The 24,490-nt window shown below is 39.9% G+C and overlaps 1 protein-coding gene across 49 annotated transcripts in view; it reads left to right on the plus strand.

The window, feature by feature from the left end:
* TNRC6A (trinucleotide repeat containing adaptor 6A) overlaps window positions 1-24,490 on the plus strand; it is a 216,014-nt gene that overhangs the window by 159,168 nt on the left and 32,356 nt on the right. For 22 of the 49 annotated variants that reach the window (XM_024450231.2, XM_017023145.3, NM_001351850.2 and 19 more), the window contains 3 exons: window positions 7,561-7,986; window positions 19,860-22,445; window positions 24,101-24,277. In XM_024450231.2, coding sequence (XP_024305999.1) covers window positions 7,561-7,986; window positions 19,860-22,445; window positions 24,101-24,277 — 3,189 coding nt within the window. Of the gene's footprint in view, window positions 1-7,560; window positions 7,987-8,978; window positions 9,097-19,859; window positions 22,446-24,100; window positions 24,278-24,490 lie in introns of those variants that run through there. The other 27 variants (XM_017023148.3, XM_024450233.2, XM_047433924.1 and 24 more) reach the window with 4 other exon arrangements.

Raw genomic sequence — 24,490 nt, forward strand, 5'->3', positions numbered from 1 at the left:
CTTAAAAGTTTAACTTGTTCATTTTTGGACCAGTTAAAATTTTTTTTCCCATTTCTTTAAAACTGTGAAATAGATGGGTGGGGTCACAGTATGACCAAAAAAAAAAAAAAAAACCCTAAAAATAGAGCTCTTTACTAGATATCTATGTTTTATCCTAGCTAAATGTAACTCTTTTCCATTAAAATCTTTTTTGATATGGACCAGGGCAGTCTCAGGGCTAATTAGAGAACCTTCTCACATTAATGATCTCAGTGGCTGGTCTTGTCCTGCTCTCTCCATGCCAGCTGTAGGTGTTTTTTAGAGCAGAGATTTATTTAAAACTATTGATGCATTCAGCAGCATACTAACCAGTGACCATCATTCTTACTTACTCTTCCTCTTGATCATTCTTTCTCTTTTCTTTACTGGTTCTTCATTATTGCACCTCTTGAATATTGATATTCCACAGTGTTTAATCCTCAGTATTGTTCTATCTTGTTTTGCATAGATCCAGTCACTTTGTGTATGCTTGGCAATTCCTGGATTATTCATTCAACCAGCATTTGCTTTGCTTGGTTCAGGAAATGCTAGTGATAAAGTGAAGGAGAAATAAGAAACCAGCACTTACAGAGCACATTGACTGCATTGTAAGGGATTTGTAAGAGTTTCATCAGAATAGAGGAGGGCAATCTGGTTGTCATAACATAACATGCTTCTAAGATACGCCCAGTCTGGGGGTGGGGGAAATTAGATGTTTTCTAGGCAAAAACGACAAAAATATTTGCAAGAAAGGTATCAAGGCATTTTGAGCAAAAGAAATAGCGTGAAAGAACGTGATACGTTTTGGGGAATTGCAAGTATTTGGTGTGGTAGAAGAGAATGCAGTGAGTGTGGACATAGCAGGATATGAATCTGGAAAAAGGTAGAGAGGGGCCATGCCAAGGAGTTTAGAAAGGAGTTCCAAAAGTGGTTTTATGATACAGATAACTTGGGGCAGGTAGATGATAGATTTCGGGATGCGTGAAAGTGGGTGGGGCAGGGATCAAGACTTGAGCCAGGCCTGCAGTCCCATTAGGAGGTTTTTGTGAGAGTAAATTGTTGAGGGCCTAAATCAAAGAAGTGGCGTTGGAGACACAGGATGCATTTGAATTTGAGGTATTCTGTTGGGCCTGTTGACTGACTAGATACAGGGGAGTAGGGAGAAATTGAGGAAGAAATTCCTGCTTGAGTAACTACATAGATAGTTAAGCCATTACCTAAAATGAAGTTTCTCTCCCGTCACTCTGGCAGTTATGACTTATTCTTGCCTTTACTTCCCTCCTTCTATCTGCTGCTTAAACCCATTCTTAGGTTTTGTCATTTCTTCCTCTACAACTCTTTTCTCACCTGTATGTTGAATCTTAAATCCATATTTTTAATCCAAACTTTTTTGAACTCCAGAACCATATATTCAGTTGCATCCCGTGTGTGCATATTCTGTAGCAATGGTTCTCGAAGTTTACCTGAGGACAGGATCCCTAGGAGGCTCCTCAAAACTCTTTCATGAGATCCATGAGGTCAAATCAATTTTCATAATAACAGGAAGACTTTATTTGCCTGTTTCACTTTTATTATGAGTATATAGTGGAGTTTTCCAGAGGTGACACAGTGTGGGATACCACAACAAATTGGATGCAGGCGCATATGTGATAATCCACCTACCTTCTGTTAAGCCAGATGTTAGAGAGACTTACAGAAATGTTAAACAGTGCCATGCTTCTCACTAATTTTGTTATGGAAAATAGAACAATTTTTTTTAAATGTATGTATGTTCGTATGTAATAAATTTATTTTTAACTCACTTAAAATATTTGTTTAAACTTTTATTATGGTAAATGTATATACAACACACATAAACGAAACCTTTTGGAGTTCTCAGTGTTTCAGAGTATAAAGGACCTTGAGACCAAAACATTCGAGATGTGAGTCAGCAGAGGCAGTGTGGTTAAGTGCCTTGCCCATGGTCATATAGCTAGTAAGTTGCAGAGCTGAGATTTGAATCCATCCAGTCTTTTGAACCTATACTTCTTGTCCTGGGACAGTTTAGGTAAGATTAATATTACATGTTTCTTGAGGATACACACCCATCCACACACGCCCCCTGTAAAGTTATCTGAGCCTGGTGCATGTTATGTTATGTTATGTTATGTTATGTTATGTTATGTTATGTTTTATGTTATGTTATGTTATGTTGTTATGTTATGTTATGTTATGTTATGTTATGTTATGTTATGTTATTCAGGAGTTGGGGCCTTACCATATTGCCCATGCCTGACTTGAACTTTTTGGCTCAAGCGATCCTCCTGCCTCAGGACTACAGACATCTGCTGCTGTGCCTGGCTTTTTTGTTTTTGTATTCCTGGTGTGTTTTGGAGGGATAAATCTTGGGAGACCCTTTCAGAGTTTCTGCTGTTATACTATAGGACCTTCTATTCCTCTGTGAGCCTATTTTGGTAAATTATATTTGATAAAGCAGAGTTTGGAAAACTACAGTCTGCAAGTGAAATCTGGCCCACTGCCTGTTTTTGCATATGCAGTGTTACGAAATATAGTCACATCCATTTGTTTGCATTTACCTGTTGTCTATGACTGCTCTGGTGCTACACTGGCAGAGTTGAGTAGTTGTCACAGATTCTGTGGTCTGCAAAGCCCAAAATATTTACTCTCTCATCTTTACAGAAAGAACTTGCCAACCCCTGTTGTATAACATAGTTCAATTTAGTTGGGTTTTGTTTTACTGGGATAGATTGTACATAGTATTTTCTTGTCTTTTGGTAATCTCCACGTTTGAATTTGTGTCTTTTTCATTCCCAGTGCTATTTATATCTCTTGTTTTTATTCCCATTGTTTGGGATGACCAAAATTTAGCCTGACTTATTGGTAACAGTGTTATGTTGGTGCTCCATCTTTTACTGTGCTCTCCAATAATTTAAATGCGATTAGATTTAGAGATACGTGTTTCTTTTTCTTTTTCTTTTTTCTTTTTTTGAAACAAGGTCTTGTTGTTGCAAGACTTCGGGAGGCAGACAGAGGTTGCAGTGAGCCAAGATCCAAGATCGCGCCATTGCACTCCAGCCTGGGAAACAAGTGCAAAACCCTGCCTAAAAAAAAAAACACTATTAAAGGCCATGTGCAGTGGCTCCCAGCACTTTGGGAGGCCAAGGCAGGAGGATCACCTGAGATCAGGAGTTCGAGACCAGCCTGGCCAATGGCAAAACCCCATCTCTACTAAAAATAGAAAAATTAGCCGGGGCTGGTGGCACACACCTGTAATCCCAGCTTCTCCTCAGGCTGAGGCATGAGAATCACTTGAACCAGGGAGGTGGAGGTTGCAGTAAGCCAAGATTGCACCACAGCACTCCAGCCTGAGCGAGACTCTTGTCTCCAAAAACAAGTATATACTAGTGAAAAAGAAAAAGTATGGTAGTATTCATCAGGGAAATTATCTGATCCTGATGGACACTTTCATAAATTTGTCTTATTTCTTCTATGTAAACTAGCTAATCTGTTTAGATTTCCTGCCTCTTCTATAGTCAGTGTTAAATTACTCCCTCCTCCAGCTTTTCAAACTATTTATAGATTTGAACATAAATATATTAATTGCCGAAGGTTATTTTTTTCCATTTTCATTTTTTTAATAAAGTTTTAACTATTCTTTTTCATAGAAGCATGCCTTGGATTATATAGATTTACTTTAAAAGTCATTGATCTCTCTTTTATATTTACTAATTCCGTCTTTCTATTTCCTTTACTTTAGTATGTGCGGGTGTTTTCCCCCTTCTTGAGTTGGATTATTATGTTCTTGTTGGAAATAAGGCTATGAATTTTTTTGTGTGCACTGGTTTAGCTGGATCTTAAAATGTATTGTATGCAGTGTTTCCAGTATTAATTTCTTGGTAACCCTGTAATTTAGTGTTTATTTCTTCTTCATCTTGAAATGTACTTTTTTCTTCTTTTTCTTTTCTGTTTTTAGCTGCAAAATTTGTGTTATGCAGTTGAAATTTATTTAAGGCAGATTTTTATTTGCTAGTTTTATCATTTTAGTGACATTGTATTGTAATCCAGAAATATCCACTGTATTATTTCTAGCCTTTGCAGTTTATTGATGTTTTCTTTGCTGCTGTATGGCATGCATGTGTGTGTGTTTGTGCACGCGTGTACATGCATGCATGCATGTTAACCTATGATTGTTTCATGGGCATTTGTCAAAAAGATGTTACCTGTTTTCAAGATACATGGTTTTGCTTTTTTCCGGTTTTCTCTGTCTCCATTTATTTTGCATGTTTTGGTATTATGAGGCTTGGCATATGAAAGTGCTTAATTGCTCATATCTTTTTAGTTGTTTTTTTTATTATGAATATGAAATTTGTCTTATCCTTTATAATGCTTTTCTCTTTGAATTTTGTCTGATATCAATATTGTTTTCATTTTAATTTTCTTAGCCTTTCTTGGTTGTATATCTTCCTCTCTACTTTTTTTTTTAACCTTGCTGCATTGTTTTGTTTTAGGAGTGCTTTTTGCGAAGTATATTGTTTTTCCTTTCTTAGTTTAAGAGGCTTTATCTTTTAACAAGTGAACTTAACCCATTCACATTTATTGTGACACAGATAATTGGGGGCTTCTATTTAGCATCCTAGTTTGCATTAACCAGAATTTTGAAATTTTTTAAAATTCCATTTTCCATGTCCGTTGAATAGATGAAGTTTTCTAATTTTCCTTTTTCCCCCCTTCCAGTGGTTTGGGTGATTATGAACATAGTTAACTTAAAATTTTTAACTACACATAAACCATGCCAGTATTAGTCAGTATTGATATTTGTTACCTAGCAACCCCCACCTACGTTCACTGTTTACTCCTTCTGCACTCATTACTTCTATGTCTTATTTTGTATCTAAGATTGTACTTCAGATTAGCTTCATGTAATAATCAGTAGTTACATTGTCTTGATGTCTTTACTGGTTTTAATGAAGCTTTCTGGCCCCGGAAATGAATACCTATCTCAGCTTTGTATTCCACATGGTACTTTACTGATCAGAAGTACAGCAGTTACTTGAGTTCATGCCTTCATATAGATCATTCACAGTTTTTGTATATAGGTTTTCTTCTGGTTCTTTGATAAATAAAAAGCATCTTCCTGCTCCTTTCTCACAGACTTTGTTTGGACCTAAAACTGTCACAATTTTTTTTTTAATGTTTAGATTTTTAAAGTAATGAAGTGGCAACAAACCTGTATTACAGCAGCAGGTAGCTGCCACCTTAAGTTGATGTTCAATTGCCAGATGCCACACTAAGTCCAGTACTAAGCATGTAAAAGCTGAGTAAGCATTTTTATGTTCCTCATAATGTTACATATACAGTTGTCCCTTGGTATCTGTGATGCATTGGTTCCGGGACCCCCAACAGATACCAGAATTCATGGATGTTCAAGTCCCTTATATAAAATGGTGTAGTATTTGCATATAACCTAGACACATTCTTCTATATGCTTTGAATCATCTCTAGATTACTTACAATACCAAATATAATGTAAATGCTGTGTAAATAATTGCATTGGTTTTTATTTATATTTTTATTTTTGGTTTGTTTGTTTGCTTAGTATTTTTGATCCATGGTTGGTTGAATCTGTGGGTGGGGCACACATGGATGTGGAGGGCTGCCTGTACTTTATCTTCCTTAGGTTTCAGAGGTACTTTAGAATATTCTAGTGCCATATGGTCTTCATGAAGTGTTTTTGATAGCCAGTGTCTGCTTATTACTGCATGAGGTACACGAAGGAATATACGTTATTGTTACATATTAGAAGCATTATATTGTCTGGGAGACAAAATTTTCACCCATAATTAGGCCTAGAAAGCACTTTGCCCCAATTATCAGTAAGAGACTCATCAGTGAGCATCAAGAATGGAAAGGATTATAAACAGTAGATGGAATATTTGTAATTATTCACTGTAATTCTTCCTGAACTACAATTTGTATTACTTTAGAAAAATGGAAGTCACATGGAAAAAAAAAAAGAGGCTAAGATCATATATTATATTAAAAAAGTATAAATGACATAGACTAAATTTACCAGATGTTCAGAGAAGAAAGAAAATGGGGAGATCAGTTTGTTAGGTGAAGGGAGGCTAGAGCTGAGAGTGTGGAAGAGGAAGTTGGTGGCTATTGTAAACTCAGGTGACCAAGGCTTTAATGACATTGTCATATATATTGTAGGCATTTGATAAAGATTTCTTTTGGACACAGTAATAACTTCACTTCTGTTTACTGAGTGGTTACAACACACTGGGCACTTGACCAAGACTGTTGCTACTTTATGGAGGAGAAAGACACAGAGGTAACTCAGATGGTGAATAGTGGGCTGTTTTAATTCCAGGGTGGGAGCTCTTAACCCTTGAATGGAGATTTTTCTCTGAGTGCCCTCACCAGTAACATGGGGGTGTTTCACTTCACTTATCTGACAGTGGTATCTGTGAGGATACATTACAGCATTTCATAGAAACATTCAACTGCTACCAAAGTATAAGGTGGTATTGTGTCAGTCATTAACGAATAGCCACTGTTTATATAGCCTTATGTTCTGTGTTTTATAAACATGAAGACATTTAACCTTAGGATAGCTCTGCAAGGTGTAGGTACTATCTCCATTTTACCGAGAAAACAGCAGGCTCAGTTAGGTTTATACAACTTGCCCAAAGACAGAAAGCTTGTAAAGGCAGGGCTGGGGTTGAAACCTGGCACCAAAAGCTCATACACCATGCATCTCTGTACTTCTCCAACTGGGTTTACTTACACTAGCTTAAGGCATTTCCATCCGTTTTATTTCTTTCTTTCCACTCTTTTATGAGTCAAAAATTTCCCTATTTGCAGTTTCCGATTTATTTTTCAGATTTAAGATAGAGCATCCAGATTATTTATCTCATTTTGATTCATCTCATAGATAACGTTATCTTTGTCTTTAGTTCCATGTTCTGAGTTTGTCTTATATGATTCAGATATTACATTTTTAGCAAATACAGACATTGTTAACTTAGCCTTTTTGTAAGAAAACCAGCAGGTTGTTTTCTAACCTTGTGTTGTTCTTGTGTTGTCTTCCAAAGATGAAAAATAGAGACCAAACACATTAACAATGAGGCAGAATAAGAACAGTTGCCAAGGAATAGAGGATTCCCTTAGGACTACTGAAAATTGGTTGGCCACATTTGTTCTTTGAGTCATTGCGAGTTCCCTGGTTTTGTAATGATCCGATGATGATGTCTTTGACCAGAGAGTAATGTGGTAAAAGAGATAGTGAACATGAGTTGTTGTCTTGGCCGAAGGTCCCTGGGCCCTTATTGGGTAGGTAGGTAGCAGAAGTGAAATATGACTCTTGGCAGTGACATCTCCTAACAAAATTTGAGCCTGTAAATGAGGATATCCCTGCTCACAGAAAGCTTCTGTTTTTTTAGGATTATTTTTCTTAGTGCCTTTGAATTTAGATGGCTTACTTTGGAGGTACACTTTACTGGCTAATCTTTTCCACCCCTTTTCTTTTGTTGGGATTAGTGCCAGAACAGATAAAGCCCAGTGTAAGCCAGCCTCAGCCTGCCAACTCTAATAACGGCACTTCCACAGCAACCAGCACTAATAATAATGCCAAGCGAGCTACAGCCAACAATCAGCAGCCACAGCAGCAGCAGCAACAGCAGCAGCCGCAGCAGCAGCAGCCACAGCAGCAGCCACAGCCGCAGCCGCAGCAGCAGCAGCCACAGCAGCAGCCACAGGCCTTGCCTCGGTATCCTCGTGAAGTACCTCCACGATTTCGCCACCAGGAACACAAACAGCTTCTAAAGAGGGGTCAGCATTTTCCTGTTATAGCAGCAAACCTTGGATCTGCTGTTAAGGTGTTAAACAGCCAGTCAGAAAGCAGTGCTTTAACAAATCAACAGCCACAAAATAACGGAGAGGTGCAGAACAGCAAAAACCAGTCAGGTGAGAGAAGGCATTTCTTACGAGACTCACACCTTATCATCATTAGCTGTATAGCAAGTTGATAAATTCGTAGCTTTTTGGTGATGTATTTGTATTCATCAGTATGTGGGCTTTAATGTAAGAGTTCTTTATAGGGAGTTATGAATGGGGAATCTTAGAATATTTCCTGTAAGTTACCTACTTTAAAATGATTATTTTAATTACTGATTCTCCCTTCAGGTTCTGCCCATTTTAATAAGGAGCTTATAGCTAAAGTTGACTATAAGACTGTAGCTAAAATTGAGCACCCTTCCCCCCAGGCCATGTGCTGAGCAGTTATACATATTATTGCATTTAATCTTCAACAACGTTGTGAGACTGAGTTCTTACCTCCACTTTCAGTAGAGGCAGCTGACATACCAAGATGTTAAATAACTTGCCCAGGCTCATTCAGTTACCACATGCCATAAAAAGACTGGCACTCATAGAAATTATATTCAAACAGAGGAAATGCATTCAGTTATTTGTCTCAGAGTGGCTTCTCTGAGCTTGGTAGTGATGGTGAGGCAGAAAATAAATCTGGTATGTGATTACAGGTTTTCTCAAAACCCAGTTTGTTTCAACATGTTCTGGAAAGTTTTGATGGTCTGTTAGTCTGTCCATCCATTCATTTATCCAACTATTTGAAAGCTTTACCACAAGCCAGGTAGAGAATTAGGTGCTAGGGTTGAGGGGGAATGAAGGTGCCCATACAAGAACACACTTCTAGAGGCAGTATAGCATACTGATAAAGAAGGAAGTCTCTAGAATCAGATAGACTAGGGCCTTACATCCCGGTGCCCCCATATCCCAGTGTGTGTGACCTTGGGCAGGTTACTTAATTGCTCTATGTGCCTGAGCAGTCTTTCCTAACTGTGCCAGGTAGTTACTCACTTTCTATACCTGTGCTCTCTTTTATATACCAAGAACTACTCTGTACATTGTAATATATTATGGTATTTCACAGTGAATAAGTAGCAGATCCTGGACTCACATCAAGATCTGTCTGACTCCAAAGATATGCTTGTAACCACCATGCTGTGCTTTGGCAACATACAGGATGTGATTGGTAATGAGGAAGAGGACACAAATGTGAGTTTTCTAGCATAGGCACATTGTTATTGGAAAGGATACAAATTTAAGTCATTGTCCTGAGTTAATATTTACTTGCTAATTTCCCAGCACCTTATTACCTGTGTGAGCTTGGCCATAACACATCTGACCTTCTTTGCTAATCTGTAAAACAGTAGTACCCAACCCTATAAGGCTGCTGTGTAGACTTAATTACATGACATGTTATTAAAGGAACTACCTTAATGCCTGGTATCTAGGTGCCAAATAAATTATCTTCCTAATAACTCTTATAGAAGGACCTGTACTCTTCAAGAAGAGTTTGGTTAATACTAGATCTAATGCCAAGTAGTAGGCAATTAGTCATTTGAAGTTCATCTGGGGAGTCAGATTGGAAGCAAATGTACTGGTCATCAGCATAATGAAAAATGTGGTTAAAAACTTCGGGAGAGGTTAGTTATACAACAGATGATGGAGTACCTGCTGTGAGCTAAGGAAGGTGGAATGGTACTGAACAAGACAGTGAAGTGGGATAGTATATTTAGAAAATATGTCAAATATGCCTTTTCACTTGGGGAAATGAAGAGAACCTGTTTTTGGATGGAAACAACAGGAGTGTAAGAATCTTGCTTCTCAAAAATAACTATGAGTCAAAAATATCAAAAGTGTTACAGGTGTGGGTTCAGATGAGAAGAAGGCCTCAGGTGTGGGCATAGGAAGAAGCTTTCAAAAAATGTCTGAGAAGGAAAAACGTCATGCCTATTTCTAAAAGAATTTTACTAGGGTGGACTGCATTGATGTGGAGGCTAAGGTGGAAGTGAGGAGGGTGCAGCAATCTGACTGAAGCCTGGATTCAATCTCAAAAAACAACTAGAAAATGCAGATGATGAAGCCAAGGCATTCCAAAGAAGAGCCAGATTTGTACTTTTGTCTCTTAAAAAATTTATGAATCCCCACTTAACAGCATATTTTACATATTTACATTAAAACATCTTTCTAAGTGTTACTAGGATTGGTAATAGAAACTTTAGCTTGCAAAATAGACCAGGAGAGTCAGTGAAGGCCTCTTATGAGTTAGGTATCTCCAGCTCCTACCAAGTTATTAATATTAATAACGATACAGTGGCTAATCCTTATGGGGTGCTTACTGTGCCCACACACTACTAACTCATTTAATACTTCTTTTACAGAGTAGATAGTATCATGTTCATTTTACAGATTAGGAAGTAGCCTAGAGGCCAGTGAAGAACAAGGTACTAGTTAGTATAAACAGCGTGCACAGTAGCCCAGAAACACAAACATTCTTTGTTGTGAACTACATGTAGTTCAGAATTGGGAGAACATAGTGTTGGCTTGGTTTTTTGTTTTGTTTTGTTTTGTTTGATCTATTCGTATTTGGCTTTTTTACATTCTCATTTTTAATTTTTTTAGAATCCTGTGCTAGTCAAACTAGACAACTCTGCAGACCAGCCCTGGGCTGCCATTTTGGGGCTGTGCCTCAGACACTTATTGATGGTTTAAATTGAGACTTGAGACCTCTTTTTTGCAGTTGACCACTTAGACCCCAAAGAGGTGAAATAACTGTTTAATATGGGGGCCCACAAACCATGTAATGAAAGTGAAGGCTTTGGGGGGATGACTAGGCTCAACAGGAGCAATATTGTTCTTATAGGCCAAAGTGTTCTATCCTATTTTTTATCCACCTGACATGATCCATACAGAAAAATTAAGAAGACTAACATAGTGAACACTCGTATACCCTCCACCCAAAACTGGTGGTGGTTAACATTGTCCCATCTTGACTTGACACACCTCTCTTTCTCTCTCTCATATATGCATGCATGTGCACATTATTGTTGAACCACTTAAAAGTAAGTATGCAAACATTATGGCACTTCAACTTTAATCCTTCCACAGGTAATTATCCTAAGAATAAGCATAGTCTCCTATACAACCACAATACCATTATCACCCCTAAGTAAAAGAACAACAACAATATCTTCTGATAGTTTATATCCACATTTTTGCTAGTTGTCCCAAGAATGTATTGCTTGCTTGTTTGTTCACAGTATGTTAGTGTTTATATAAAATATAAAGCATATAGAACACTATGTATTGCTTAGGGGATGAATTCAAATGTAGTGAGATATAAAGATTTACATGAGTGATTACCACTGGTATACCTACTGGCGAAGGAAAGAGAGAGAATACCTGCGAGTTTTTTCTGCCATATTAGTAACGCATTTCTTAAGGTGTATGAGTATATTTTATATTACTCTTTTATGGCCTTATCTATTATGTTTGAAGTAGTTTTTTTTTTTTAAAGAAAAAGACATTTGAGGCATAATGGTGAATGACCAATAATTGGGATGTTTTAACCAAAAGTGTTAACATTAAAGTTTCTGGAGATATTTAAAGGTTAAAATGCTGTCCATCCCCATCCATCCGTGCTCTTGCATTGGGCTTTTAGCACGGTGTACCTCCTTGCTGTCTTGCAACTTCTACTACTTGCTTGCAACTTGCACCTTCCCCTTGGACGATAAACAAACTCAGATCTTCTCTATCCTTAAAAAAATTTTCTTAAGCCTCCATACTCTTTTTTTTTTTTTTTTTTTTTTTTTGGAGGAGACAGCGTCTTACTTTGTCACCCAGACTGGAGTGCAGTGGCATGAACACGGCTCACTACAGCCTCAACCTCCCAGCTCAAGTAATCCTCCCACCTCAGTGAGTCTCCCTGAGTAGCTGGGACTACAGGCGTTCACCACCACACCTGGCTAATTTTTGTGTGTTTTGTAGAGATGGGGTTTTGCCATGTTGCCTAGGCCAGTCTTGAACTCCTGAGCTCAAGCTATCTGCCTGCCTTGGCCTCCCAAATTGCTGGGATTACAGGTGTGAGCCACCACACCCGGCAAAATTCCCATACTCTTTTGAGGCTATTACAGAATTTCTCCCTCCCCCCTTTCAGTGTTACTGAAGGAATAGTCTGTACTTGCAGTCTTTAATGTATTACATCAGTCTCTCATAATCTGGCTTCTGCTCACTTGACTAAAATAACTCTATTGCTGAAGTCACTGATCTTCTGAATGTCAAATGCAAACCTTTTTGTTCCCTCCCAAGGCTTTGTTTCAGATCTCGCCACATTTTAGGTCCTCTTCTGGAAGTCTTCAGCTGATGTTGGGCCCCTCAAAACTCAGTATGTCCAAACTTGAACTCTTTGTGTTGCCCCGTACCACTTCCTCCTCCTGCGTTCCTTTGCTCAAATAGTTGCCACCCCCATTCATCCAACCACCCATCTAGAAACCTTGAAATCATGCTTTACTCTTCCCTCTCCTATATGTCTCACAGGCCAGTGGGTTACTGTACTCTGCTGATTTTAACTCTTTTTTTTTTTTTTTGAGATGGAGTCTCGCTGTTGCCCAGGCTGGAGTGCAGTGGCACGATCTCGGCTCACTGCAAGCTCTGCTTCCCAGGTTCACACCATTCTCCTGCCTCAGCCTCCCGAGTAGCTGGGACTACAGGCGCCCGCCACCATGCCCGGCTAATTTTTTGTATTTTTAGTTGAGATGGGGTTTCACCATGTTAGCCAGGGTGGTCTCCATCTCCTGACCTTGTGATCTGCCCGCCTCGGCCTCCCAAAGTGCTGGGATTACAGGCGTGAGCCACCGCGCCCGGCCAATTTTAACTCTTAAATGCCTCCCACTTTTCCCATCTCCCTTTGATACTGCCATCAGTTGCAACAAGTTGCCCTGGTTGAGGTGTTCACCATCTGGTCTAGAGCAACATCCCCAAGGATGTCTTTTATATCCATCTCCCTACCACTTTCACCCCATCTCTCAAACCGGAAGCCAGTCATGATTCATGCATTGCATTTGGTTGTGATATTGCATTTGTCTTTTTTATTCTGGAACAGAGATCTGGGCCTATTTTAGTCCAGCTTTTTTGGGAGGTACCTACACCCATTCATTTACATGTCGTCTGGGCTGCTTTCAAGCTACAATGGCAGAGTTAAATAGTTTTCACAGACCATCTGGCTCGCAAGGCCTAAAATGTTTAACTGGACCTGTATAGAACAAGTTTGCCAACCCCTGAACCAAAGGCAAGAATAACCAGATGAGACATTTTGAATTTTGTACGTAAGAGTGATTTGAGGCCGGGCGTGGTGGCTCATGCCTGTAATCCCAGTGCTTTGGGAGGCTGAGGTGGGCGGATCACAAGGTCAGGAGATCTAGAGCATCCTGGCTAACAGGGTGAAACCCCCTCTCTACTAAAAATACAAAAAACAAAATTAGCCAGGCGTGGTGGCGGGCTCCTGTAGTCCCAGCTACTCGGGAGGCTGAGGCAGGGAACCCGGGAGGCAGAGCTTACAGTGAGCCGAGATCGCGCCACTGCACTCCAGCCTGGGCGACAGAGCAAGACTCCGTCTGACAAAAAAAAGAGTGATTTGAAACTGTACATCTAAGGTTCTCTCGTATTCCCAATGGTACCATCTCTCTCATACTCCTTGGAAACATTGTAAAACATAAATATTATTTACTTTCGAAGCTCTTCCCTTTCTGGCAAAATTGAAAGTCTTTAAGGCAGAAAATAAATATTTAACTGTTTTGTTTGTTAGATGCTGTATATTTAGAAGAAAAATATTTGAAGGTCCATGGATCTAAATTCTTCCTGAATAAGTGATGCTGTTTCTTTTCTTTTTTTTTTCAAACAGTCTCGCTCTGTTGCCCAGGTTGGAGTGCAGTGGTGCGATCTCTGCTCACTGCAACCTCCGCCTCCTGGGTTCAAGCAATTCTCCTGCTTCAGCCTCCTGAGTAGCTGAGATTATAAGCGTCCACCACCATGCCCAGCTAATTTTTGTATTTTTAGTAGAGATGGGATTTCACTATGTTGGCCAGGCTGGTCTCGAACTCCTGACCTCAGGTAATATGCCCACCTCGGCCTCCCAAAGTGCTGGGATTACAGGCATGAGCCACTGCGCCCAGCTGATGCTGTTTTTTTATGTCGCTAGAATTATCACCAGTCTTCGTTCAGCCCCCACATAACCTCTTTGATCTTTTTTGGATAGATGTTCTATTATGTACAATTTTTTTTTTTTTTGAGTGTGGTACTGTAGGTGATCACACTTCTGTGGGCATTTTGTATGAAAGTAGGATGTTAATGATGCTTTAGATTTCAAATATTTCTAAATAACGCGCAACCTTCCAAATCTTAAGTTTGCCTACAGCATTGCAGCGTATAAACATTTTGCATTACACTCAGTAAAACTCAGCCGCTCCCTTTCTTCCTACTAGCACAGAGATTAACTATTTCTCATTATTTCCTGGAAAGCTGAGTGATAATACTCTACTTAATGATGTTCCTCTATGTTTATCTTCCAGATCATTTACAACACTGGGTCTTGTGTGTCTTTAAGTGAAATAAATTATTTGACTTCTTCCAAATCTGAAATAATCTCTGACTCTGAAACATATTAGTTATACCTGAGGAGTCCTGTTCTTTTCATCCTTTCAGTTTTAATAGCGTCTTTTCCCATCCCCTGCAACACATTTTGTTTTTGTTGTTGTTGTTTTGAGATGGAGTTTCGCTCTTACATAATGCCCAGGCTGGAGTGCAGTGGTGCGATCTCGACTCACTGCAACCTCCACCTCCTGGGTTCAAATGATTCTCCTTCCTCAGGCTCCTGAGTAGCTGGGATTATTGGGGCCTGTTACCACACCCGGTTAATTTTTGTATTTTTAGTAGAGATGGTGTTTCACCCTGTTGGCCAGGCTGGCCCCAGGCTCTTGACCTCAGTTGATCCTCCCGCCTCGGCCTCTCAAGGTGCTGAGATTATAGGAGTGAGCCACTGTGCCCAGCCAACACTTTTTATTGATTTTTATTTGTTTATTTATTCATTTTGAGAGAGGCTGTAGCTCTGTCTCCTAGGCTGAGTGCAGTGGTGCAATCACAACTCACTACAGCCTCAACCTCCCAGGCTCAAGTGATCTTTCTGCCTCAGCCTCTTAAGGAGCTGGGACCCCAGGTATATGCTACTACACCCAGCTGATTTTTTTATTTTTTGTAGAGATGGGGTGTTGCAGGGTTGCCCAGGATAGTCTCACTTCTGGACCCAACCAATATTCCCGCCTTGGCCTCCCAAAGTGCTGGGATTACAGGCATGAGCTAGAATGCCAAACGAATTTTTTTTCCTAAACTACAACCTTTTTTACAACCCAGAATACCTTGTAACTCACCATTGGTAACCCAATTTTTAAAATAATCTTTAGGTTTTGATCAAGTGGCTTCTAGATTAAAAATGGGATTTTAGTTAATAATATTTTAAAAGACAAACTTAGCCACCAAACCGGGTCATGACCAGAATCTGAGAACATTTTTCACTAACATTAAAGGTGATAGAACTCATTTGCAGAATATATTCAGGCGTTTGCTTTTTTGCTTTGCTTTTGATGTATTCTAACATTAACAAGTGAAATCTGCCACGTATGGTTTATGTATAAAAATACTTATTCACTGATAGCTTCATGATTTCGTCTTTTACTTTTAATGTTTTAATCATTTGGGATTATTTTTATTTATTATCTCATTTTAAAAAGTTTTCAAGTACTGAATATTCCCTTTCTCCACTGATTTAAAATGCTAATCCTTGAAATAGTATCTTTGACATATACTTGGATCTGTTTCTGGGTTACTTTTTCTGTTCAGTCAAAGTGCTCTCTGGCAATGCAGTGCTGTTCAACTATTTCCTGATAATGCAGATTCCCTTCTTCACAACCTCTTCTTTTTGAAATTTTTTAGAGGGTTACTTCCCCACTTGCTTTACAGAATTTTTAAATCACTTGTAATCATTTTGCAGACTCTTGTTAACAATTTCTTATAACTGAATTAAACTTAGAGCATTGTTACACCTTCATATCCAGGAACAAGTTTCTTCACTTTCAAGTGTCTTCTATAGCCAGCAATAAAATATAATCATATATGACTTTAAATATTTTTGCTAGCTTTATTCCTGTTACTTTATGGCTGTTAATGATTAAGATCTTTTCCCATCAACATTTTCTCCTGGATTATTTTTGGCATATAGAAAGGAAATTGTTTTTTCATGTTGATCTTTTTTGCCTCTATTCTATTATTTTTACCTCTCATTTTTGAGTCATATTTTATCAGTTACTACTTCTAAAACTGGACCAAATAGTAGTATTGATGACAAGTATTTTTGTCTTTTTCTTGTCATTATGGGAATGCTTCTGGTGTTTCCCTCTTGAATTCTGGATCCATTTCTTTATTTTCCATTTGGGTAGTTTTGTTTTCGATGGCCAATCTTGTTTTCTTACTCCTGCCTTGTGAAAGTGGCCACACACACTTAACGCACGCAAATAGTGGCAGCAGAAATACGTTTGTAGTAGTCCAGGAAAAGACAGTGACAAGGGCTGGACTGTCTTAGATTTGGAAAAAAGATGTATGGATTTTGGACTTGATGATGTTTTGGATTTGCTGTGCACAGGGAGGAATAAAAGATAAATTCTAGGTGTTAGGAAACTTACTGAGATGAGAAAAACTTGTAAAGAAGCAGTTTTTGCCCCGTTTGGGAGGAGAGCAATTTATACTCTGTTGGAGTGTAAATCTGGAATCTGAAGATTCTGCTAAAGATATCTAAGTGGAAATTTTAAGTAAGGAAGTTATATGATTTCTCATTTTGTTCTTTATAAGGGAGACATGGTGGAATGAAAAACATGCTTTGGAGATAGGACTAAAAGATGATAATCATTAGCATGCATTTATCAATGATAATAATGGCCCTCATTTATTAAGCACCTAATATGGATCAGATATAGTTCAGAGTCCTTTTTTGTTTTTTTTTGTTGTTGTTGTTGTTTTGTTTTGTTTTGTTTTGTTTTTTTTGAGACGGAGTCTTGCTTTGTTGCCCAGGCTGGAGTGCAGTGGCACGATCTTGGCTCACTGCAAGCTCTGCTTCCCAGGTTCATGCCATTCTGCCTCAGCCTCCCGAGTAGCTGGGACTGCAGGCACCCACCACCACGCCCAGCTAATTTTTTTGTAGAGATGGGCTTTCTCCGTGTTAGCCAGGATGGTCTCGATCTGCTGACTTCGTGATCCTCCCGCCTCGGCTCCCTAAAATGCTGGGATTACAGGCGTGAACCATCACGCCTGGCCAGTACAGAGTACTTTTAATAATCTGCACCACAGTTGTGTGAGATTGGTACTAATACTGTTTCGTTTTTGTTGTTGTTTTTGTGTTTTGAGATGGAGTCTCACTCTGTTGCCAGGCTGGAGTGCAGTGGCGCCATCTCGGCTCACGGCAACAGCCTCTGCCTCCGCGGTTTAAGCAATTCTGCCTCAGCCTCCTGAGTAGCTGGGACTGCAGGCGCCTGCCACCACGTCCGGCTCATTTTTTGTATTTTTAGTAGAGACAGGGTTTCACCATGTTGGCCAGGATGGTCTCAAACTCCAGACCTCGTGATCCCCTCGCCTTGGCCTCCCAAAGTGTTGAGATTACAGGCATAAGCCACGGCGCCCGGCCTGGTACTAATACTGTTTCTACTTTAGAGATGAAACTAGGCACAGAGATTGAGGATCTTGCCATGGTCACACAGCTAGTAAATGGTAGAGTGCCTCTTAAACCCAAGCATTCTGGCTACCCAATCTGTGCTGTTAATCACTACATCAAATTGACCCTAACGAGGCACTTATTTGCAGCCAGCACTGAGCTTAATGCTTTACATATGATGATAAAATTAACAAAAGAACCAGGTTAAGAAGTATTGTTTATCTTCTGGTTTTGCAGATTTGGTCATACAGAGTCCAGACTTGAATCTTGGTGTTTCTAGAGTCCTGTCTACATTCTTAGGCACCTTGCTTTATGAAGGATTCTGACGAATCCTGCCTTTCTCACTTAATTTTCCATAAATTAACCTGTGAACCTCAGTTTTGTCATCTGCAAGTGAAGGTAATACCTATCCTCTAGTGTGGCTCTAAGGATTCAGTGATAAAAGTGCGCACAAAGTTGTCAGACATAGTACTGAATGCCAAACATTTGTTGATGGTGCTGGTGCAGATGTTAGTGTGTTGGTTTGCTTACACCCAATGAGACTGACTTATTGTTACCCTTTATTTCATGAGAAATTCTCCTTATGGGCACTGAAAGATGGCAAATCTTCTTTGGCAGCTTTAGGAATCATTAAAGAAATGATTCTTAAACAGGGAGTGGAAATTAGAGTCACTTATGGAACTTTGAAGTATATTATTTGATGCATTTATATCATTTCCGGTCTCTCTCCAGTCACTTTTCCAGACTGTTTCCAGATCTTCTTTTGCTTCTTAATGATTGTGCTTTGAGAGCAAATGATGCAAATTGAATCTGATTTTCCATTTTAGCAAATCACCTTAATAGTGACTTCTTTTTATCTCCTAGGCCTACAACCCCTGAAGGTTGGCTCATTAGGTCTGGGACACTGCCTTGAAGATATATACTTAAAAGCACTACGTGTGATTCTGATTTGTACTCTAGTAGAAAACTGCAATATAATGTACCTCCTCAAGACAGTCAGAATGCACGTGACTTATGCAGGTTAATGGCCCTGAGGAGTGTCTGCCTACCAGATCCTTAGACCAAGTGAGAGTTAAGAATCTGGGGAACTATTCAGAAGCACTAGAACTGCCCTACCTGTGGTAAAATAACTAAATAGTAATACATAGCAGGAAGTCCAAGATTATAGGATTGTATGACTGGTCATTAAACATCTCCAGTGTCAGCATTTGATTTTTTGAGATCATAATAATTCTGTGATCTTCAACATAACTAACCATTACTTTTCTGTTCTTTTATATAAATGTGGTTAGGAAGGTAAATTAAGAAAATTTTATGAGAGGAAGTTGAACTGAAAATACTGTTACTTGGCTGTAATATTTCAGGTTGAATACGGACACTAATGAAATAGAATGTAATGATAAAAGCTTTCCAATTCTTACCATTCTTATAAATTTTTATAAACTTGTTACAATACTCAAAACAGTTGTGTGGAAAAGCTATACTAGAAAACAGAGGGTGGAAAAATATTTCTGATACATTTTATCAAATTTTGGCTATTCACTTCTCCTTACCTGTCTTTCCATGTCAGGCTTCTATGCCTGGGTTGTTCCGTTATCCTAATGCGTAGCTGCCTCCTAGACCTTCTTGACTCCAAAATTCTTTTTTTTTTTTTTTTTTGAGACGGAGTCTCGCTCTGTCACCCAGGCTGGAGTGCAGTGGCACTATCTCCGCTCACTGCAAGCTCCGCCTCCCGGGTTCATGCCATTCTCCTGCCTCAGCCTCCCGAGTAGCTGGGACTACAGGCGCCCACCACCATGCCCGGCTAATTTTTTGTATTTTTGGTAGAGATGGGGTTTCACCATGTTAGCCAGGATGTTCTTGATCTCCTGACCTCGTGATCCACCCACCTCGGCCTTCCAGAGTGCTGGGATTACAAGCGTGAGCCACCACGCCCGGCCCAAAATTCTTTTATTTACCGATATGTTAACAATGTATTCATTCAGCAAGTATTTATCAAGGGGCTGTTATGTCCTCTAGGATCTTAGGATAGTATCAGTTGAACATAGAAAGTTGGTGGCTAGAAGATAACCAGTGCCCTTGTCACCATTCTGCCAAGGATCATAGCTTGTTAAATTGAGGAGCCACATATATTTATAACATATTCGTCATTTTTCTTAGATTTTAGTATCATTTTGAAATGGCCTAACACTTTATAAATAGTTGTACTTCTCCTTTATCCTAGATATAAACCACAGTACTTCAGGATCCCATTATGAAAATTCCCAGCGGGGACCTGTGTCTTCTACAAGTGATTCTAGCACAAACTGTAAGAATGCTGTTGTAAGTGACTTGTCGGAAAAAGAAGCATGGCCCTCAGCCCCTGGCAGTGATCCGGAGTTGGCTTCAGAATGTATGGATGCTGATTCTGCCTCCAGTTCTGAATCAGAGAGAAACATCACTATCATGGCTTCAGGGAACACAGGTGGTGAAAAAGATGGCCTTCGGAATAGCACTGGACTTGGTTCCCAAAACAAGTTTGTAGTTGGTAGCAGCAGCAATAATGTGGGCCATGGAAGTAGTACTGGGCCATGGGGTTTTTCCCATGGAGCCATAATAAGCACATGTCAGGTCTCTGTGGATGCTCCTGAAAGCAAATCTGAAAGTAGCAACAATAGAATGAATGCTTGGGGCACTGTAAGTTCTTCATCAAATGGAGGGTTAAATCCAAGCACTTTGAATTCAGCTAGCAACCATGGTGCCTGGCCAGTATTAGAGAACAATGGACTTGCCCTAAAAGGGCCTGTAGGGAGTGGTAGTTCTGGCATTAATATTCAGTGCAGTACTATAGGCCAGATGCCTAACAATCAGAGTATTAACTCTAAAGTGAGTGGTGGTTCTACCCATGGTACCTGGGGAAGCCTTCAGGAAACTTGTGAATCTGAAGTAAGTGGTACACAGAAGGTTTCATTCAGTGGTCAACCTCAAAATATTACCACTGAAATGACTGGACCAAATAACACTACTAACTTTATGACCTCTAGTTTACCAAACTCCGGTTCAGTGCAGAATAATGAGCTGCCTAGTAGTAACACAGGGGCCTGGCGTGTGAGCACAATGAATCATCCTCAGATGCAGGCTCCATCAGGTATGAATGGCACTTCCCTTTCTCACCTTAGCAATGGAGAGTCAAAAAGTGGAGGCTCTTATGGTACTACATGGGGTGCCTATGGTTCTAATTACTCTGGAGACAAATGTTCAGGCCCTAATGGCCAAGCTAATGGTGACACTGTGAATGCAACTCTAATGCAGCCTGGCGTAAATGGTCCTATGGGCACTAACTTTCAAGTTAACACAAACAAAGGAGGTGGTGTGTGGGAATCTGGTGCAGCAAACTCCCAGAGTACATCATGGGGAAGTGGAAATGGCGCAAATTCTGGAGGAAGTCGAAGAGGATGGGGAACCCCTGCACAAAACACTGGCACTAATTTACCCAGCGTTGAGTGGAACAAACTGCCTAGCAATCAGCATTCCAATGATAGTGCAAATGGCAATGGTAAGACGTTTACAAATGGATGGAAATCTACTGAGGAAGAGGATCAGGGTTCTGCCACATCTCAGACAAATGAGCAAAGCAGTGTGTGGGCCAAAACAGGAGGTACAGTGGAGAGCGATGGTAGTACAGAAAGCACTGGACGCCTTGAGGAAAAAGGAACTGGGGAAAGTCAGAGTAGAGACAGAAGAAAAATTGATCAGCACACATTACTCCAAAGCATTGTAAACAGAACTGACTTAGATCCACGTGTCCTGTCCAACTCTGGTTGGGGACAGACTCCTATTAAGCAGAATACTGCCTGGGATACAGAAACATCACCTAGAGGGGAACGAAAGACTGACAATGGGACAGAGGCCTGGGGAAGCTCTGCAACACAGACTTTTAACTCAGGGGCATGTATAGATAAGACTAGCCCTAATGGTAATGATACCTCATCTGTATCAGGGTGGGGCGATCCCAAACCTGCTCTGAGGTGGGGAGATTCCAAAGGCTCAAACTGCCAGGGGGGGTGGGAAGATGATTCTGCTGCTACAGGAATGGTCAAGAGCAATCAGTGGGGGAATTGCAAAGAGGAGAAGGCTGCATGGAATGACTCGCAAAAGAATAAACAGGGATGGGGTGATGGACAAAAATCAAGCCAAGGGTGGTCTGTTTCTGCCAGTGATAACTGGGGAGAAACTTCAAGGAATAACCATTGGGGTGAGGCCAATAAGAAATCCAGCTCAGGAGGTAGTGACAGTGACAGGTCCGTTTCCGGTTGGAACGAACTTGGTAAAACTAGTTCTTTCACTTGGGGAAACAACATAAATCCAAATAATTCATCAGGATGGGATGAATCTTCTAAACCTACTCCTTCCCAGGGATGGGGAGACCCTCCAAAGTCTAATCAGTCTCTAGGTTGGGGAGATTCGTCAAAGCCAGTCAGCTCTCCAGACTGGAACAAGCAACAAGACATTGTTGGATCTTGGGGAATCCCACCAGCTACAGGCAAACCTCCTGGTACAGGCTGGCTGGGGGGACCTATACCAGCCCCAGCAAAAGAAGAAGAACCCACAGGCTGGGAGGAACCATCCCCAGAATCTATACGTCGCAAAATGGAGATTGATGATGGAACTTCAGCTTGGGGAGATCCAAGCAAATACAACTACAAAAATGTGAACATGTGGAACAAAAACGTCCCAAATGGCAACAGCCGTTCAGACCAGCAAGCACAGGTACATCAGCTGCTAACGCCTGCAAGTGCCATCTCAAACAAAGAGGCAAGCAGTGGCTCTGGTAAGTTTCTATTTTATGAAATCAAGCCTTGTTTTAACTTACTGTTATTATAAGATTTGTATAACAAAGTACTTGGATATGCACACAAAGGCTGTTCTTACTGTAATCCAGAAGCAGCTTGAAAAAAATTATAGGGGTGATGTTTACCACCAGAGAACAGAACTCCACTTTTGGCAGTGTTGTTTGAGTCCTGCACACTTCATTCTCTATTAGAAATGCAAGAGAAGGCGAATTGGACAAAGGCGGTCAAGTGGGAATGCTGTACACTTCTCCAAGTTGTTTTTGAGTTAGGCCTTAACTTGTGGTTTTATTATTTGACTAAAATATCTCCAGAAATAAAACAAGTATCTCATAAATACAGTACTCTCTAAACATTAGGTTGTATATTTGGCTTTAGAAGGGATTTTTTTTTTTAAGTAGGTGAGAAATCCAACTCTACTTAGATACAGTATATATGTTTGTGTATTTAAAACATTTGACAATACCTTTCTAGTATATCCTTACTTTCCTCTCTAATAATGAACTAATTCCTATCTCTGCAAATTTTCCCAACAACATTTTTGTTAAGTGTGATTGGCTACATTGTCTTTGTTAATAAAAGTTTTATTGACTTAATAGTCTCATTGGAAGTGGATATGGGAGTGCTTTCATGAGCTAACTTTTTGGCACTGAATTTTTTTTTTTTAGTCTAAGTATAGTTTGTTGTATTAATTTAGGTTTGATTCTTAAAAGGAAGAAGTATGTATCTAAGATGAAGCCTGTTGGCTTTGATTTTTTTTAATGAAACATTTATGGCTTTTTTTTTTTTTTTTTTTTTTTTTGCTTTGGACAACCTCAGCCTAATACTTCAGATTTTAAAATAAGCATTGTTCAGCATATGTAAAAAGTAGGTGACCCATTATTGTTAGCTGGGTAGTAAATTGTTTTTCCAGTGTAGGTGGTGTGGAAGGGGTACACTTGTGGCACAATTTTTTTTTTTTTTTTTTTTGGAGATGGAGGCTTTCTCCGTCACCCAGGCTGAAGTGCAGTGGCATGATCTCGGTTCACTGCAGCCTCCACCTCCCAGGTTCAAGCAATTCTCCTGTCTCAGCCTCCTGAGTAGCTGGGACTACAGGTGTGTGCCACCACGCCCAGCTAATCTTTGTATTTTTAGTAGAGACCAGGTTTTGCCATGTTGCCCAGGCTGGTCTCAAAATCCTGACCTCAGGTGATCCACCTGCCTCAGCCTCCCAAAGTGCTGGGATTACAGGCATCAGCCACTGTACCCAGCTGGTACAGATGTTATACATACACTGTCACCCAGCTTATCACCTGCTCCAATTTACAAGGTTTGGTTTAGAATGACTTGACTTTTTCAGGAATTAAACTGATGCTCAAAGGAGAGTGGTTTTCCATAACTATGCAAAAATCAGCTCTAGGTCTAGAGGGTAATTATGAAAAAAGTTAAAAAAATTCTCACCTTATATTAATGGGAAATAGTTTGTCTTTTTTTAACATAAAACAGATGCCATCTTTTTGCCTATCACAGTATCATTATTCAGTACATAAACATGAAGTTCTTCATCCTTGGTCCCTAAGTTTTCTTTATTGTCCCTTATTCCACTGCACCTCCTTACCTTCTATGCTGATGACTTCTTTTCCCACACTTTCTAAAGGCTGGGGTGAGCCCTGGGGGGAGCCTTCTACTCCAGCCACAACTGTGGATAATGGTACTTCAGCATGGGGTAAGCCCATAGACAGTGGTCCCAGCTGGGGGGAACCCATTGCTGCGGCATCCAGCACATCCACGTGGGGCTCCAGCTCTGTTGGTCCACAAGCATTAAGCAAATCTGGTAAGTTATTGACAATGCCTGGTAGCTGTTATGTAGCAGTGGCGAACACTCACTGACTATAATTAAATAATTAGATAAGGTTTCTATGTTATTTATAATATATTCATATAATGTAACATGATAGATGATGTTCAGTATTTTGCTCTTTGATTTTGTAACGTGGTTTATTCTCTTTCTGAATTTTCCTCTTTTCTCATATTTCTTAGAACTGTA

Source organism: Homo sapiens, chromosome 16 (assembly GCF_000001405.40).
Source record: "Homo sapiens chromosome 16, GRCh38.p14 Primary Assembly".
NCBI classification, from domain to species: domain Eukaryota; kingdom Metazoa; phylum Chordata; class Mammalia; order Primates; family Hominidae; genus Homo; species Homo sapiens.